A 16,344-nucleotide genomic window follows, 5' to 3' on the forward strand; every position below is an offset into this window, starting at 1 on the left:
ATCCATACATCTCGCTGTGGCATGACGTCAGCACATGCGCTCCTAGGAGCCCAGCACCGAACACTTCTAAGAGCCGGAGCTGGACTGACTCTGGGAAAGACAGTGAAGACAAGCATGCCCTGCCTCCTTCCCGTCACCAACCAGCGCCAGCGAGCTTCTGGCCAAAAGACCACAGTCTCCACGCGTCAGCTGAAACTCCAGGGAGGAAGCCCCAGGGCAGAGAGTTTCTTGTAAATAAAGACACTATTTGCTTTATCCCCCAGAAGAAGAAAACTATGAACTTCATTGCCAAGTTCTGAAAGCAGTTCATAAAAGCTTAGCCTCATGGGGCTAAATGAACACTAAGTCATCTTGCGGAATTGCGACAGAGAAGCATTTATCCTGAACAGGTACCATGGAAGAAAAACAAAACATGTGCCAGCCTCTTAAGAAAAAGCTCCTGCTAGGCTTTCATTTCAGATTACATTTGGTAGTGCTTTTCTTTTTACATTTAACAATAAATACAGGACAAGCTGCTAGCTAACCTTTAAGAGGAAAATGTACTCCAGCAATAAAAGTATTACCCAACAAAAGCTTCTTGGGGCAAAGGCCGGCTCCATGTCCCCTGCAGCGAGTGCTTGTAATTTTATGTTGCCTCGGCATCTGTTTTAAAATATGTTTAGCTTTCTCATACCAGAAGCAGGGCTCACGAACCCTTGACAAGGTTCCTAATACTACACCCTACCCGACTGGCTCTAGCTGGTGGCCAGAGACAGAAACTTACAGGCATCTTTGCCCGCCAGCAGGCTAGCTCCTGGCTTACCTACTGATCCTTTAAACAGACCATTTGCCTGAGAACTTAAAGCAACCACCTCTTAGTCAAAGGCTGCGCCTCCTGAACACGTGCCTGCTTGCTTTAAACCCACCAATTAAAGCTCCCTGCAGGAGGCCTGTTTGGATAAGGCCCGCCCTGGACCCAATAACCCCAAAAGCGGCGCTGGTCCATAGGGTCCCTTCTCTCTCTCCCAGCTTGTGCTTCTTCGCCTCCCTGTGCAGCCTCCAGGCTGCTGTGTAACCCCCAAGGTCTAAGGTACTAAAAAACTCTTAGCTTGTGAGCCTGCAATCCAGCCCCTGGCAGTGAAGTCTGTGAAGAGACTCATGCAGATGGAGGCCCTGCTGGTGCTCTTCAGTCTGGGCCTCTGGCGATGAGTGGAAACAGTAGCTTCCACCTGACAGATAATGAAACTCAAAAAGTTTCATTCAAAACAGGCTCCTCCCACCCGCAGTGAATCCAGGCTCCATGTCCGGGAGGCGTCCTGGCTTGACGCAGTTAAGTTCTGCAATGACCACAAACTTACACTGTGGCCACATCCCTAGGGATGGCAGAGATGTGTCCCGGGCTTCAGGAGTAATAGTGACCTCAACTCTGAGATGGCATCACGGGATAGTTGTGGGGGGAGTGGTCAGGGGAAGGATGAGGGGTGATGGAGTCCTTTTCCTGACTGTTCCTAGGAACCTTGAGTTTCCAGTGCCACCAAACCAAGATGCTTCTAAGGCTTCCATTGTTCTGACACAGCCAAAGACTTCAGAGCCACTCACCTGTGCTGAATTCGAGGATCGTTCTGCACCAGGGGTAAGATGGCCTCCAGCACCTTGCTGGCTGACCCTGGAAGCATCTCCAGTACCTTCTTATCAATTGCCATTTTGTCCACAATGGTCTTAAAGTAGCGCAGGGCACTGACAACTTCCTTCTCTTTCTCCTCCAGCCAGCTCAGGTTCTGAAAGGAGACGTTAGGCATAAGGAGGAGGAGAGAGATTAAAGGGAGCTATTTTGAAAAAATAAAGGAACATTTTCTTTAAACCAGCTTGAGATCGATAGGAATGGAAAGGCTCTTGCTACAGAAACCAAGCCAGATCATTTTTCTAAGGATTGTAATCAGGAGACAGAGGGTAGAGCTGAAGGAAGAAGGGGGCTTGGACCAAGATAGCTCATTCAGAAATTTCTGAATTCCCTTTCCAGACCCTGAGGTCTTGAAAACCACTTATCCTCCTGTCTGTCCTCATCAGCCACACTGACAGACCACCACTAACCCTGTTAACTAGAGTGAGGACTAATTTGCTGATGACTTGGAGAAGCACCAGTCAAGGCCCATGGTACATCTGTATCCTGTAAATCACATCAAGAAGCTCCAGGCTTTTGTTTCAAAGATCTGAAAGACTGTGTAAGACTGGTCCAGGGCATGAGGGGCTGAAACCCATTCCCTCAGGACTCCTCACTAGGTTCCCAGATTGTTCACCCCACTGAAGCCCCCACTCAAGGAAATGATATGCTATTCCTCAAGGGCCTGGAAGCTCCCAGGGCTAGAAGGGGCAGGAAATCTGGGGAGAAAAGGCAGAGAAGCCAGAGCAGATGACCGTGATTCTCAAGATTCAATCACGACTCATGCAGTGGGCGCTAGCAGCATTCATGGTCCCTCTGCTCCTGAGAGAAGCCCACCTGAGAGAAAGGGAAAATACAGAGCCCTGCGCTTTCCAGTGTTTAAGCCACAACCCCAAGCTTTTCTCCCTGACCGTGGGAGGCCTTGGATCCAGTTGGTGGGTCTACACACCCCTTTTGTTCTTCTCTCCAACTTCCCCTCTACTTGCCCTGATGTCAATGATCCAGGTCTCAGCTGGCTGGCAGGAAAAGGAGGCTAAGAGTAATCTACAGAAGTGGAGTCTCTGAACCTGTTCTGGTTTGGGAGGCTGTCCTTTAAAAAAAAAAAAAAAAAGAGTAGTCTACAGAATGGATAAATCCCAAAATGGACAGTGTACTCAAGTAGTCGATTACATGTCTAGTGCAAATTAAGAGGGGTGTGTATGAGGCAAACAGCCACCTGCAGGATCTCAGAGGTCTAGAGGATATAAATAAAAACTGAGGGCAAGAAGATAATTTCTAGAAAAAGGTGATTTAAACAATATACAGACAAACAAATGGTAGAAATTAATAAAAAGTGCTTATGATTCTGAATACTAGCTCTTTTCTTCTAAAATAGTGCCGATTGGCCAGGTGAAGTGGCTCACACCTATAATCCCAGCACTTTGGGAGGCCAAGGTGGGCAGATCACTTCAGCCCAGGAGTCAGGACCAGCCTGGGCAACATAGTGACACACCGTCTCAATTAAAAAAATAAAGTTTAAAAAAAGGTGCAGAATATCATTTTAAATATAAAAATGTTCAATAGTAGAGGCTTTTATTTCATGGGAATGTCAAAAGAAAAATATATAAATGGCTACTTTAGTCAGACAATGCACAAAAGACCCAGTCATTTCTTTCATTGAGTCTTTCCCACAAGGTGTCCTGCAGACTAGAAGACACAATTCTCCCATGGTGGGGGAAGTGCCCTTCCTCATCCCCATCCCTGGGTCCTGCACCCTGGCTTTATTTTTCTCTTTTCACTACCTGACAGATTTGTTTACGGTCTGTTTCCAAGAGGCTGGGCGCTTACTTTTCCACCTCGTGGACAAGAGCTCTCTGCTTCATGTCATCTGCCCGGGGCAGGGAGGAACCTGAGTGTGAAGGAGTCGCAGTGCCGACAGACCTCAGATGTGCCTAAAGCCATGGTCAACCAGGCAAGAAGAGGACTATGACAGTAACACTGCCACCTTAGCACATCAGAAAGTGTTAGAGACCAGCAATGATGAAACTTGCTGAGGAACAGGAAACATTTTAAGAAAATGTGTCATCAGGTCACACAGGGAGAAAGTGGCTAATCTGAAGATGGGAGGCACTCGAAAGTGGCAAGGCACTTCAGAGCAGAGAGTTTTTCTGTCATTGCAGAGAGATCAAATCAGCTGTTTAAGAGTCAGGCTGTCCTGGGCTCCTCCTAAAGGAGCCAACAATGTAGCACAGCCAGGCTGCCTCCGTGAACTCAGATTCTACTCCCAGAATTAATGGCCTCTGGGTGTTGTGCATTCTCCAGCCTTTCAGCTGTCAAGCTGGGGATCCTTGTGAATGCAGCCAGCAGTGAGAGTTCACAGCCACACAGCCACATCCAGCACTGGCTCGGACTGGGGACTCCATGCCTTGGCTTTGCTGAAGCTGCCTCGCTGCATAACCCGAGGGCAGGTGCGTTCACCTGCGCACCCCTCCTGCTGTGGGGGATGGATTGCCATCATTGGTCCACATAAGCCTGGAAACTAAATGAGGCTGTCCGTGTCTGGGGATGGCTTAGAGACAAAGCCAACTGCTGGGCTTTGGGCTTGTCACCCACAAAATGGGGAGAATAACATCTGCCCCGTGTAACTAAAGAGGTGACTGTGGGGGACTGAATGAGAAAGCATATGAAGTGGTTCACAACATTTAACAGGCACTATACCAACACCAGAGACCATATACCTGCCAGTAATAAAGCAGAGAAAGAGGGCCTAGGATGGGAACATCTGAAAGGGAAGAAAGAGGCCAGATCGTAGCTACCACTCATCGGGGACATGGAGGCACCCACTGTGCTATGGATTTTATATAGGCTATTTTGTTTAAAGGTTACAACCACCCTGTGAAGTGGATACTATTATTTCACAGGTGGGGAAACTGAGGCTTAGTGGGACGTGGGGGAGGTTAAGCAACTTGCCTAAGGCCACACAGCTGTAGTGACAGATATGGAATTTGAACTTGGTCTGTCTGAGTTCAGAGCCTGGAGAGATAGAGAGGAGAATAAAGACCAGATCAGAAATGTGCTGAAGTTAAAAAGTTTACTTGAGATCCCCTGGTCAAAAAGATCTCATTTAACAAACGAGTAAACTAAGACCCCGATGGCAGAGATGGACATAAAATCCCCATCGCCTTTCCTGCCCCGTGGGCCATATTCATTTCTGACGCCCAGGCTGTGGCTCCACAGCCATGTGCTGCCACAGGAGATGGCGGGGAAGAGGGTGAGGAAAACTGGCCCTCCTCTCCAGACAGTTCTCTCCCCACAGCCGTGCCGCAGCCGGGACACCCGACTTGCTCTGTCACTCCTTGTCCCATCTGCAGCCTGGGTGCCTCCCCTCTCCACAGCAACATAAGCCTCATTTCCACACTATAGGACAGTGTACCCTGAAAATGTGGGTAAAGCCAGGGAGTGAGGGGGAGGGCAAGTCACAATCAGTATAATAAAAAACTAGAATTGCAGGATTAAAAAAAAAATGGCAATGCAACATTATTCCTATTAGTCCAGAACAGTGAGGCCTAGCAAGAAGACATGTCGAACACAGACATTGGTTACAATGAGAGCACCAAATCACCACCTGCCACCAGGCTGTCCGGCAGCAGCATCTCCCTGGAAGAGCTGAAGGGGAAAGGCTTTCAGGAATCCACCCAAGAGCACTCGGATCCAATCTCTGTCCAAATGCCCTCAGAGATGGGGCATTAACACCTCCCAGGACCCCCTGCTCACTGCTCATTGTAATTATACCTTTGGACACCCAGTATATGGCTAAATTTCCTCTACAACTTCAACACTCTGCAGCTCACTGCTAGACTTGTTAAAAGGTTGCAAAAAAGTTTAGAAGTTCATCACAATGTACTTTGAATTTTTAAATTCACTAAGAAGATGCAAGAGACTGCTAATGTGGAATCAGTCTGGGAAGACAACAGAATATAGTGAGAAAAACAGATTTTGATCAAGAAAATGTGCACCAGGGCCAACACTGTCTGCACAGTGGGAATAATAAAAGCTTCCCCACACAATTATGGTGAGGAGTAAATAAGACAGCATGTCTGAAACCACCCAGGACAGGGCTGGGGCGAGAAGGAGCCCTCGGGAAGTGGCAGCGAATCTGAATCTGTACTTTCATCTCCCTGCACTTCCATTTCCCTCGTATCTGAGCAGGGAAAGCCATGCATATGACCTGAAGTAAAATAAGAATGTACGTAATCACTCCCTAAGTGGTAAGAGAGCTAATGAATAATCAACGAGGGCAGCAGATGACAGACCCACTGCAAGGTTTCTTGGACATAATCCTCTAAGTCCACGTACTCTGGGAAGTTTCTCAATGCTTCTGGTTCTGTCCATGGGCCTCCACGAAGCAAGAGGTTCGCATTTACTTGTCCCACGCAGGTGGCTTGGGACAGAACACAGACATCCAACCCTTCCTAATGAGCAATGATGAAAAAGGGGTAACATTCCTTCTTGGGTGAAGATCACACCTACAGCTCCCTGCTACAGAACAGGTTTCTCAGCCTTGGCACTACTGACATTTTGGGGCAGAGAATTCTTTGTTGTGTGGGGGGCTGTCCTGTGTATTGTAGGATGTTTAGCAGCTTCCCAACCCCTACCCACTAGAAGCCAATAACATCTGCTTTGCCTTCCTATGGCAACAACCAAAAATGTCTCCAGACATTGCCAAATGGCCCCTGGGGTTTACAGGCACCCCACTAAATGAGCGGTACTTTAGCACTGAATTTTTCTCTGTGACCTCTCTTGGAAAAATGAATAAAGGGGAAAATCCCGGCTGGGTGCGGTGGCTCATGCCTGTAATCCCAGCACTTTGAGAGGATGAGGCGGGCAGATCACTTGAGGTCAGGAGTTTGAGACCAGCCTGGCCAACATGGCAAAACCCCATCTCTACTAAAAAATACAAAAATTAGCCAGGCGTGGTAGAGGACGCCTGTAGTCCCAGCTACTCGGGTGGCTGAGGCGGGAGAATTGCTTGAGCCTGGGAGGCGGAGATTGCAGTGAGCTGAGATTGCTCCACTGCACTCCAGCCTGGGCGACAGAGTGAGACTCTTATCTCAAAACAAACAAACAAACAAAAAAACAACAAAAACAACAAAAAGGGGGGAAATCCCAGGAATTGAGTGGCCGAACAGTTTCATATCAGAATTCACTAGCAGGATAACGTTGTTAGTAAGTGAATCATTTTACTCTGACTGCCTGGACTAGTGTTGGATGACAATTACACTCTACTTGTAGTTAATACTACATTCGGCTACAAGAGGTTACTAAACAGATTGCAATAAAAAATAACTGTGGCACAGACCAAATCTACTGTATTACTCTTCTTCAATCTGGAATTTAGATCAATCTGGCAAACACTGACTGTTTCCCTCTTGCTTGTCAGTCACCTTTCGTTAAAAGAGGGGGCAGGAAAAACCACTTTTCAACAAAAGACTTTTAGATTTAAAACCTTTATTTTCCTCCACTTTTAACTAAAATTTTAAGATATTCTGCTGGTCAACATAAAACCCAAAAATAGATGAACTGCAAAATTCAAGAATTATGTATTTAAATAACAGGCTAGTGTTTACCAGCGGCATTAAATGGATGGCTGTGACAGTAGTTCTGCTACATAGAAATTATACTTTGGATAATCACTAAAGGATTAAGAATATCTGTCTACAAGGTTTATTTTATTTTACATTGCTAAGTTTAGTTTTATTTATTTATTTTTTGGAGACAGAGTCTCACTCTGTTACCTAGGCTGGAGTGCAGTGGTGTGATCTCGGCTCACTGCAACCTCTGCCGCCCGGGTTCAAGTGATTCTCCTGCCTCAGCCTCCCAAGCAGCTGGGATTACAGGCGCCTGCCACTATGCCTGGCTAAATTTTTTTTTTTTTTTTTTTTTTTTTTGTATTTTTAGTAGAGACGGAGTTTTGTCATGTTGGCCAGGCTGGTCTTGAACTCGTGACCTCAGGTGATCCGCCTGCCTCAGCCTCCCAAAGTGCTGGGATTATAGGCGTGAACCACTGTGCCCAGCCTAGTTTTATTTTTATGTAATGAGTCAGGATTAATATTTAAATTCACGAGATATTAAAAATTCTGTCTTTCATAAAGAGGAAACGTAGCATCTCGACAATTCAGACTCTGACGTCAGACAGCCTGCATTCAAATCTTGACTTTGCCACCTTTTTGCTGTGCGACTTTGGCTAAATGCTTAATATTTCTATAGATCCAGTTTCCTTTTTGGCAAAATAACTTTTCACACATCAGGGTTGCTATGAAGACAAGTAAGAGGACACATGTAAAGCACTCAGCACTGGACCAAGAAAAGGCTCCATAAATGTTAGGGACACAGGTGTCTGGGGCTCTGAGAGCACTTGGTTATGCGGCGGTCTCACTGCACTCCACCAGCCTTGTGAGATGGGTAAGAAAGCACTCGGAGGCTTCAGAAGCCTTTTCCCTTCTAAACTATTCAGATCATCTTAGCAATTCAAGGAACAGCTGGTCTTGAGAGATGAGACTCGCCCACATCCCCTGGAACCCGTTGGACCCAAGCAGCACACCCAAACCAACCCCAGAAAGAATCCCTAAGCTTTTGCCACAAAGCTCTCTCCAAAGATCATGGGACCTTGCATAAACTCTCACTTTTATCCAAGGTCCCCTGGACTCTTTCCTGAACAATTCAGCCCACGGTCACCACCCAGTTGAACATAATAATAGTGCAATAGAGTTTTTTCCATCCCCAAAACCATGGACCAGGATTCTGCAGTAGAAGGCAAGGCAAACCCAATTGTTCTTAATGTTACACTGACCTTCTGCCTTTGAGACCTGGAAGCCACAGCACTGGTGGACATAAATTCTACTGCCTGCTGCTCCAGATCCAAGGGGAGAGGGTAGCCCTCTGGTAGAAATCTGTCTGTTGCCTCCTGGAAGAGAGGAAACCTGGATTCCTACAGAGTTTGAAATGGCTGTTTGAGGCCGAAGGGAGGGGTTGATGAAAGTCAATAGCTGTTTCAACATATCTGGCTTGACTGGCCCTGCTGAGGCCACTAACTCTTGAGGACATCTTTGGCTGTGTCTCAAGGGGTTTGCATGTTTCAGAGCACAGGCCCTAAAGCCAAATGATGGATGTTCTGGACATCACAGAGTTCCCTGTGTTTGAGTGTGCGCCAAGGCAACGTAGGGAACTGCAGGGCAGGGAGGCAGCAGCCTGGGGTGTGGACATGATGTGCTGAGCTGTTTTAAATGCCCAGAGGATGACACAGCTGGAAAAGGAGAACTGTCTTAGCCAACTGAGCTTGGCTAACGTGGCAAACACTCACCATCCTAATGGTTCTTATTTTACAAGGACACCAAAGGTCCCGCCCATGGAATGCTACGAAGTAGGTATGATGCACTGAAAGCTCAATCCCCAGGGAGGGAACATACAAATCGCACAAACTCATATTGCTGGAAGCAGGTGAGGCCAGGAGAAACATCCAGAGTCAGCTTACTTTGTTCACAGGCTTCTCTGGAATCTTTACGGACACCTCAGCTGGTTTTCCCTTCTTTGATGGCGTTCTCTTGATTTTGGGTGAGTGGAATTTGTCCATCAGCTTCATGGTGAAGGAAGAGAGATGAGAACGCTGAGAGTCTGAAAACAAAGAGGGTACTGACTGTTAGATGGGAGTGGGAAGAAGCGATGGTTCATTGACCTTTTGTGGAAATGAGCAATGTCCCCAAACCCATCTTTTTTCTTGGCTGTTGAGAGTTTCAAGGGAAAGGACGTATGGATCCATTACAAAACATTTCTGCTTACATGCTTCAATTTTTGCAATTTTCATCAAGGAATTGTGGAAATCAAAGGCAGTCCAAATAAATATGGAAAAAGAACTTGCAAATATTCCCAAGTGTCCTTACAGAGTTTGTGTGATGATCTAACTAACATCCAAGGGAACTGGCTGAGAAGAAAGAACACCCAGTCAAATCACAGATGTGTAGGATGTGAGAACTGGAAAGGAAGGCCCTTTCGCATCAACCTCTTCATTCTTTAAGAAACTGCAACAAGTGACATGTGCAAGGCTCTGGAGTTGGCAGCGGTGACTGAATCAGAAGTAAGGTGTTCAAAATCCTCTGGGCCCTGGTGAAAGACTGAAAGACTTGCCCCAAAGATCAGGAATTAAGACTAGGACATCTGTTCTCACCACTCCTATCTGACATTGAACTGGATCAGACCTAAATGTAAGAGTTACAACTGTAAACCTCTCAGAAAAAAACAGTTTTTGTGACCTTGAATTTGACCATGTTTTCTTAGATACAAAACCAAAAGCACAAGTAACAAAATAAAAAAATAGAAAATTGGACTTCATCAAAACTAACAACTTTTGCACTACAAATACTACTACTAAGAAAGTGAACAAACCCACAGGATGAAAGAAAATACAGTCATGTGTTGCTCAAGGACAGGAATAAGTTCTGAGTAATGCATCATTAGGCAACTTCGTTGTGCAAATGTCATAGAGTATACTCAAATGAACCTAGATGGGATAGCCTACTACACACCTAGGCTATATGGAATAGCTCATTGCTCTGAGGCTACACACCTGTACAGTACGGTACTGTACTGAGTACTGCAGGCAACTGTAATACAATGGTATTTGTGTATCCAACCATATCTAAATGTAGAAAAGTACGGTAAATGGTATAAAAGATTAAAAATTCCACCTGTGAAAGGCACTATCACGAATGGAGGCTGCAGGCCTAGAAGTTGCTCTGAGTAAATCAGGGAGTAAATGTGAAGGTCTAGGACACTCCTGTACACCAGGGTAAACTTTATAACCATGGCACATTTAACCTTCACTAAATTTATTTTTAAAATATTCTTTCTTCAGTAAGTTAACCTTAGCTTACTGTAACTTTTTTACTTTATAAACTTTTAATTTAAAAAAAACATTTTTATTCTTTTGTTTTTTTGAGACAGGGTCTCACTCTTTTGCTAAGACTAGAGTGCAGTGGTGTGATCACAGCTCACCACAGCCTGGAATTCCTGGGCTCAGACATCTTCCTGCCTCAGCCTCTCGAGTGGCTAGGACTATAGGCAAGTGCTACAATGTCTGGCTCAGTTTTAAACTTTTTGTAGCGATGAGGTCTCACTATGTTGCCCAGGTGGGCAAAAATATTTTCTTTCTTTATATCCTTATTCTTTAAGCTTTTTTCTATTTAAAAAATTATTATTTTTTTTTCACTTTTAAAACTTTTCATTAAAGACAAAGACAGACACACATTAATCAGCCTAGGTCTACGGGGGCAGGATCATCAGTATCACCATCTTCCACCTCCCCATCTTGTCCCACTGGAAGGTCTTCAGAGTAATAAAATGCAAGAAGCTGTCATCTCCTATGATAACAATGCCTTCTTTTATAACACCTCCTGAAGGATCTGCCTGAGGCTGTTTTACAGTTAACTTTTTTGTTTTTAGTAAGCAGAAGCATACTCTCAAATAATGATAAAAAGTAGAGTAAATCCATAAACCAGTAACATAGTCATTTATTATCAAGTACTACGTACTGTACATAACCATATGTGCTATATATTTACACCAGCATCACCACAAACAGGTGAGTAATGCATTGCGCTGGATGTAATGATGGCTACATCAGGCGAGGCGACAGGAATTTTTCAGCTTTATGATTATCTTATGGGACCATAAGATTATAATGTGGTCTGCCCTACATATGTTATAATGTGGTCTGTCACTAACTGAAATGTCGTTATGCAGAGCATGACTCTATTTAAAAATCATATGCAGCCATCCCTTAGCATCCTCAGGGGCTTGGTTCCAGGATCCTCTGCGGGGATCAAAATCCACGATGCTCAAGTCCCTTATATAAAACAGTGGAATATTTGTGTATGACACACATCCTCCACATGCTTCAAATCATCTATAGGTTACTTACGATACCAAATACAATGTAAATGTTATGTAAATAGTTATACTTTATTTTAAAATCTGCATTATTACACTGTTATTTTTATTGTTTTTCCCTGTATATTTCTGACCATGACTGAATCAGCAGAGGCTGCAGAACCCACGGATATGGAGGGTCAGCTATACCTGATAAGGGACTTGTATACAGAAAACATTACAAAATTCTTACAGCTCTAGAATAAAAGGCATGTAACCCAATGTAAAATGGGCAAAGAGTCTGAGCAGACATTCTCCAAAGAAGATACACAAATTGGCAATAAGCACATGGAAAGACGGTCAACATAATTAGCCATTAAGGAAATGTAACGCTTCACGCACACTAGGTCTAATAAAAAAGGCAGTACCAAGTGTTGGTGAGGACTGGAGAAACTGAACGCCCTACACATTGCTGGTAGGAATGTAACATGGTTTCTCTGCTTTGGAAAATGTCGGGCAGTTTCTCACAAGATCACAGAGTTGACATGTGACCCAGAAATTCCACTCCTGGGCAGATTTGCAAGAGAAATGAAAGCCTAAATCCATGAGACTTGTACAGGTAAGTCAAAGGAAAGTTCACAGCAACATTATTCATAATAGCCAAAGGTGGGAAAAACTCAAATGTCCATGTTTGTGAATGACTAAATAAAATGTATTATATCCATACAATGGAATATTATTTGGCAATAAAAATAAATTAAGTACGGATCAGCTACAACACAGTTGAACCTTGAAAACATTATTTAAGCTAAAGCAGCCAGCCACAGAAGACCATATATTGTATGATTCCATTCATTTGAAATGTCCAGAATAGGCAAATCCATAGAGACAGAAAGTAGATTGGTGGTTGCCTAAGACTGGACGGGGCAGAGATGGAGAGGGGCTGCTATAATCAGTATGGAGTTTTTTCTCCTGGTGTACAAAAGTATTCTAAAATTAGAATATGGTGATGGTTGTATAGCCCAGTGAATTACTAGAAAAAAAAAAGAACTGTACCCTTTTTGAATGAATTGTATGATATGTGAATTATATATCAATAAAGCTATTTTTTTAAAAAAGCCCACTGGCAGTCTTCCTTCATCTCAGCATTATTACAACCAGTTCCAGTGTCTGAAAACATCTTATTAATCGATTTATTTAAACCTGTCTCCTCACAAGAATGCAAGTATGGCTGGGCGCAGTGGTTCATGCCTGTAATTCCAGCACTTTGGGAGGCTGGGGCGGGAGGATCACTTGAGCCCAGGAGTTGGAGCCTAGGCAACAGAGTGAGACTTTGTCTCTACCTACAAAATATTAGCTGGGCATGGTGGTGCAGACCTGTAGTCCCAGCTACTCAGGAGGCTGAGGTGGGAGGACTGCTTGAGCCCAGGAGTTAGAGGCTACAGTGAGCACTGCGCTCCAGCCTGGGCAACAGAGCGAGACCCTGTCTCAAAAAAATAAAGGCTTGGGGGACAAGTTCCCTGAGGACTGTACCTGTCTTGTTCATGCCTGTTTTCCCAGTGCTGACATGGCAGTTGGCCCATAGAAGATAATCAGTAAACATATATTCAACAAATGAAGAAACCAACCAACAACAAAAATATCCCAGGAAGAAGACTGCTTCTTTTAGTAACAGCAGAAATACTTGAAATTGGCTGAAAATTAAGCAACAAAACACTGTCCTACGCAATGGAAAAATAAATACCTGTAGTTTTAAAAATAAAAAGCACTCCCTCTGTCAAGTTTTTCCAGCAATTTAGTACAACAAAACAAACCAGAAAACCAAACAAAACAACCCTCCAAATAAATAGCACGGCACCTTGCACTACATGGCTCTCACTCTGTCTACTATTGCTGCACGTGACTTAACAAGGCCAAAGTTCAGTTCCCTTGCTAAAGACCTTCCAGGTGGCCAGGCAGGATCAGATAAACTACCTGCCCTTTGCAAATTACCTAGGCACCCACTGCGCTCTGGACCAAAGAGAAAAGCCAGGGCCTGACCCGCATTCACATGTGGTCAAACCAAACAGCTTCACAGCTGTGTGATGGCCAGAGCTGCAGAAAGCCCTTCTTAGTCCCCAGATGGGGACACAAGTCAACAGGAAGCTGCTGCACCTGGCTAGCTCACCTGGAACAGCTCAACAGGGTCAGGAGGCTCTCAACACCAGCCCTCATATGTCAGCAGTCATCCCTCGCATTCAAATGAACTGGGATGGTGTGACTTCTCCCGCTCCCCTCTGTCCTGCCTCTTCTCTCTCTTCACCCAAGCAGGGTGGATCCCATTTACAGTTTATACTTCCTTCTTTATACTTCAACATGGATGTGAACAGTCTAATCCTTCATGTGATGCTTAAGAGGGTGTGCACTGTTAGCCAGGCCTGGTGGTACATGCCTATAGTCCCAGCTACTCGGGAGGCTGAGGCAGGAGAATGGCGTGAATCCAGGAGGCAGAGCATGCAGTGCAAGATTGCACCACTGCACTCCAGCCTGGGCGACTGCCACCACGCCTGGCTAATTTTTTTGTATTTTTAGTAGAGACGGGGTGTCACCGTGTTAGCCAGGATGGTCTCGATCTCCTGACCTCGTGATCCACCTGCCTTGGCCTCCCAAAGTGCTGAGATTACAGGTGTGAGCCACCGCGCCCGGCCAAAAAATTTTCTAAAAGGGGGGTGTGCACTGGAGTCAGAATGTTTGCATTCAAATACTTAGATATCATCTCTCTAAATCTTTCCCTTATTTTGTCTGGAAAATGAGTGAGATAACATTATATTTCTTGAGATGGCTGATGTGATGTAGATTAAATGAGATATTTACTGTGGATAATACAATAAGGTATTTCACAAAATGCCTGGCACACGGCACCCGCTCAACACAAGGAGCTTGGATGCATAGCAAGGTCGATAGATACCGAATTCTTATTTCCCAGCTGCTTCCAGATCTTCATCCAGTTATTCTGCAACACTGAACATTTAACTCACTATTCTAAGTAAATGAGACCTTATAAATGCCCACTCTTCTCTTCCTTTGGCACTGAACCAGAAGTCTCAATCTGGCTTTTAGCCTATTAGTCTATTTCCCTCTTTGGTTTAACCTGCCTCCCTGCATACGGATCCTATTGCTGTCCCTACTCCATGTCTTCTGATGGCAGCCCCACAGTGTCCCTAAAAGACACAGCCTCTTCCCTCACCAGGCAGGTTCCCAAGTCAGATGGGCTGTCAGAGCAGTTTCCTAATCCATGTGACTTGTATCCTGTTGAGTAGGACTGAAGCAGGGAAAGCAGACACAAATGGGGAAGTCTGGGCAGGATGCGTGGGTTCTCTGGTGCTCAAAGATCTTCAGGCTGGGTGAGCCAACTTCCGCTTTCTCCACTGTCTACTGCCCTGAGTTGCTGTTCAGGCAGGCATGGGGCTGAGGAGCTGGCAAGATTCACAACTGCGCCGTCATGACCACGGCGGAACTGGGGTAGACAAGTGAGGTGTAGAGGTCGATCACCAAAAAACCCTCTCAGGTTCATGCAAGGGCAGGGACCAACTAAGGGCACTTCTGCCTATGAGCTGTTGATGGAACTCAAGAGGTTTATTATTGCACTCACAATTCTTGTCTGCCTTGGGCAAGGCTGGGAAAACATGTCAGCACCTAAAGACAGTGCAATGCCTACCAATAAATCTCCCTCCTCAGGGTATCCACCTCAGCACAGCCAGCTCTAGCACAAGAAGCCATAAATCAGGCAGAGAGAAGAGATTCTTTCAAATGACAACCAACCTTCTCAACGCTGGAAATCGAGGACAGCACTAACTAGGACAGTATGTTTGTCACATCCTTCTTGAAACCTTGGGTTAGCAGCACAGGCTTCAGGTGATTCTCAAGGTCATTCACACTATGCCTTTGAGTGCTGAGGAGGTACTATAATGCTTTGCGATAGCAGGGTGGGGAGGAAACGACAGGTGCCCTCACATGAACACTGCTGTTAGGGCAATCTCGCCAACGGCTCCAGACAGGCAGGCAGACAGACAGACAGACAGACAGATGCACTCTCCCTGCCCCTTTCTCATGCACGTCAATCATCTGGGATGGAGGGCGACGTGAAGGGAGTGTTCCCACATGACTGCTGCGTCGCAGGCAGTGCCACCAACTGCTCTCTTGCTATTCCCCTGCTTTTCACACTTAGGAAGTTACACTGTAGAATTTGTATATGCGTCTCTTTAGTAATTTTCTAGAATTGAAGTTAAAACAAAAAATTTAAAGATTTCATACAAATATATATATGTACAAGTTATAGAGAATGAATCAAATCCAGGCACCCACCATCTGGCCTAGCAAACAGAACCTTCTGCAGCGATGGAGGCGGCCGGTACCTGAACTGTCTAACACGACAGGCACTAGTGGCTACTGAGGCCTGATTGTGGCTGCTGTGGCTGAGGCACTGAACTGTGAGTTAACTGTGTAAACAGCCCCTGGGGCTGGTGACTGGCACACTGGATGGTGCAGCTCGAGAAGCGGATGGATTCCACTGGTGCTGCCATGTGCTCCTCTACAGCCACATCTCTTCCCTACAGGCAGCCCGACTCTGACTTTCAGACTTATCATCCCTTACTTTTCAGGATAGTTTATATCGACATATACAGTTTAACTTATAAGTTTGTGAACGTTACCTAAGTGATGGCATATTGTAAAGATTCTCACGCTCTTGTTTTTTACTCAATAGCAGGCCTGACACTCAGGCATGCTGGGGTGTATCAGTGATTTCGTTTTCAATGCTGAGAAAT

At 45.2% G+C, this 16,344-nt stretch overlaps 1 protein-coding gene across 29 annotated transcripts in view, besides 2 other annotated features; it reads right to left on the minus strand.

The window, feature by feature from the left end:
- Positions 1–16,344, minus strand: part of RAPGEF1 (Rap guanine nucleotide exchange factor 1) — a 163,302-nt gene that overhangs the window by 64,886 nt on the left and 82,072 nt on the right. For 12 of the 29 annotated variants that reach the window (NM_001304275.2, NM_001377935.1, XM_005272186.5 and 9 more), the window contains exons 2-4: positions 9,150–9,289; positions 8,469–8,582; positions 1,579–1,757 (exon numbers count right to left, since the gene is read on the minus strand). In NM_001304275.2, coding sequence (NP_001291204.1) covers positions 1,579–1,757; positions 8,469–8,582; positions 9,150–9,289 — 433 coding nt within the window. Of the gene's footprint in view, positions 1–1,578; positions 1,758–8,468; positions 8,607–9,149; positions 9,290–9,555; positions 9,744–16,344 lie in introns of those variants that run through there. The other 17 variants (XM_011518572.3, XM_011518571.3, XM_011518579.4 and 14 more) reach the window with 3 other exon arrangements.
- Positions 13,623–14,123: an enhancer, noted in NCBI's record as "H3K4me1 hESC enhancer chr9:134530670-134531170 (GRCh37/hg19 assembly coordinates)". NCBI's record gives its function as "activates a minimal SCP1, AML or CMV promoter by ChIP-STARR-seq in primed H9 embryonic stem cells {active_cell/tissue: H9 hESC(primed)}" and the evidence as "EXISTENCE:reporter gene assay evidence [ECO:0000049][PMID:30033119]".
- Positions 15,291–15,370: an enhancer, noted in NCBI's record as "active region_29198". NCBI's record gives its function as "activates an Ori minimal core promoter by ATAC-STARR-seq in GM12878 lymphoblastoid cells {active_cell/tissue: GM12878}" and the evidence as "EXISTENCE:reporter gene assay evidence [ECO:0000049][PMID:35858748]".

Source organism: Homo sapiens, chromosome 9, assembly GCF_000001405.40.
Source record: "Homo sapiens chromosome 9, GRCh38.p14 Primary Assembly".
In the NCBI taxonomy this organism is placed as follows: domain Eukaryota; kingdom Metazoa; phylum Chordata; class Mammalia; order Primates; family Hominidae; genus Homo; species Homo sapiens.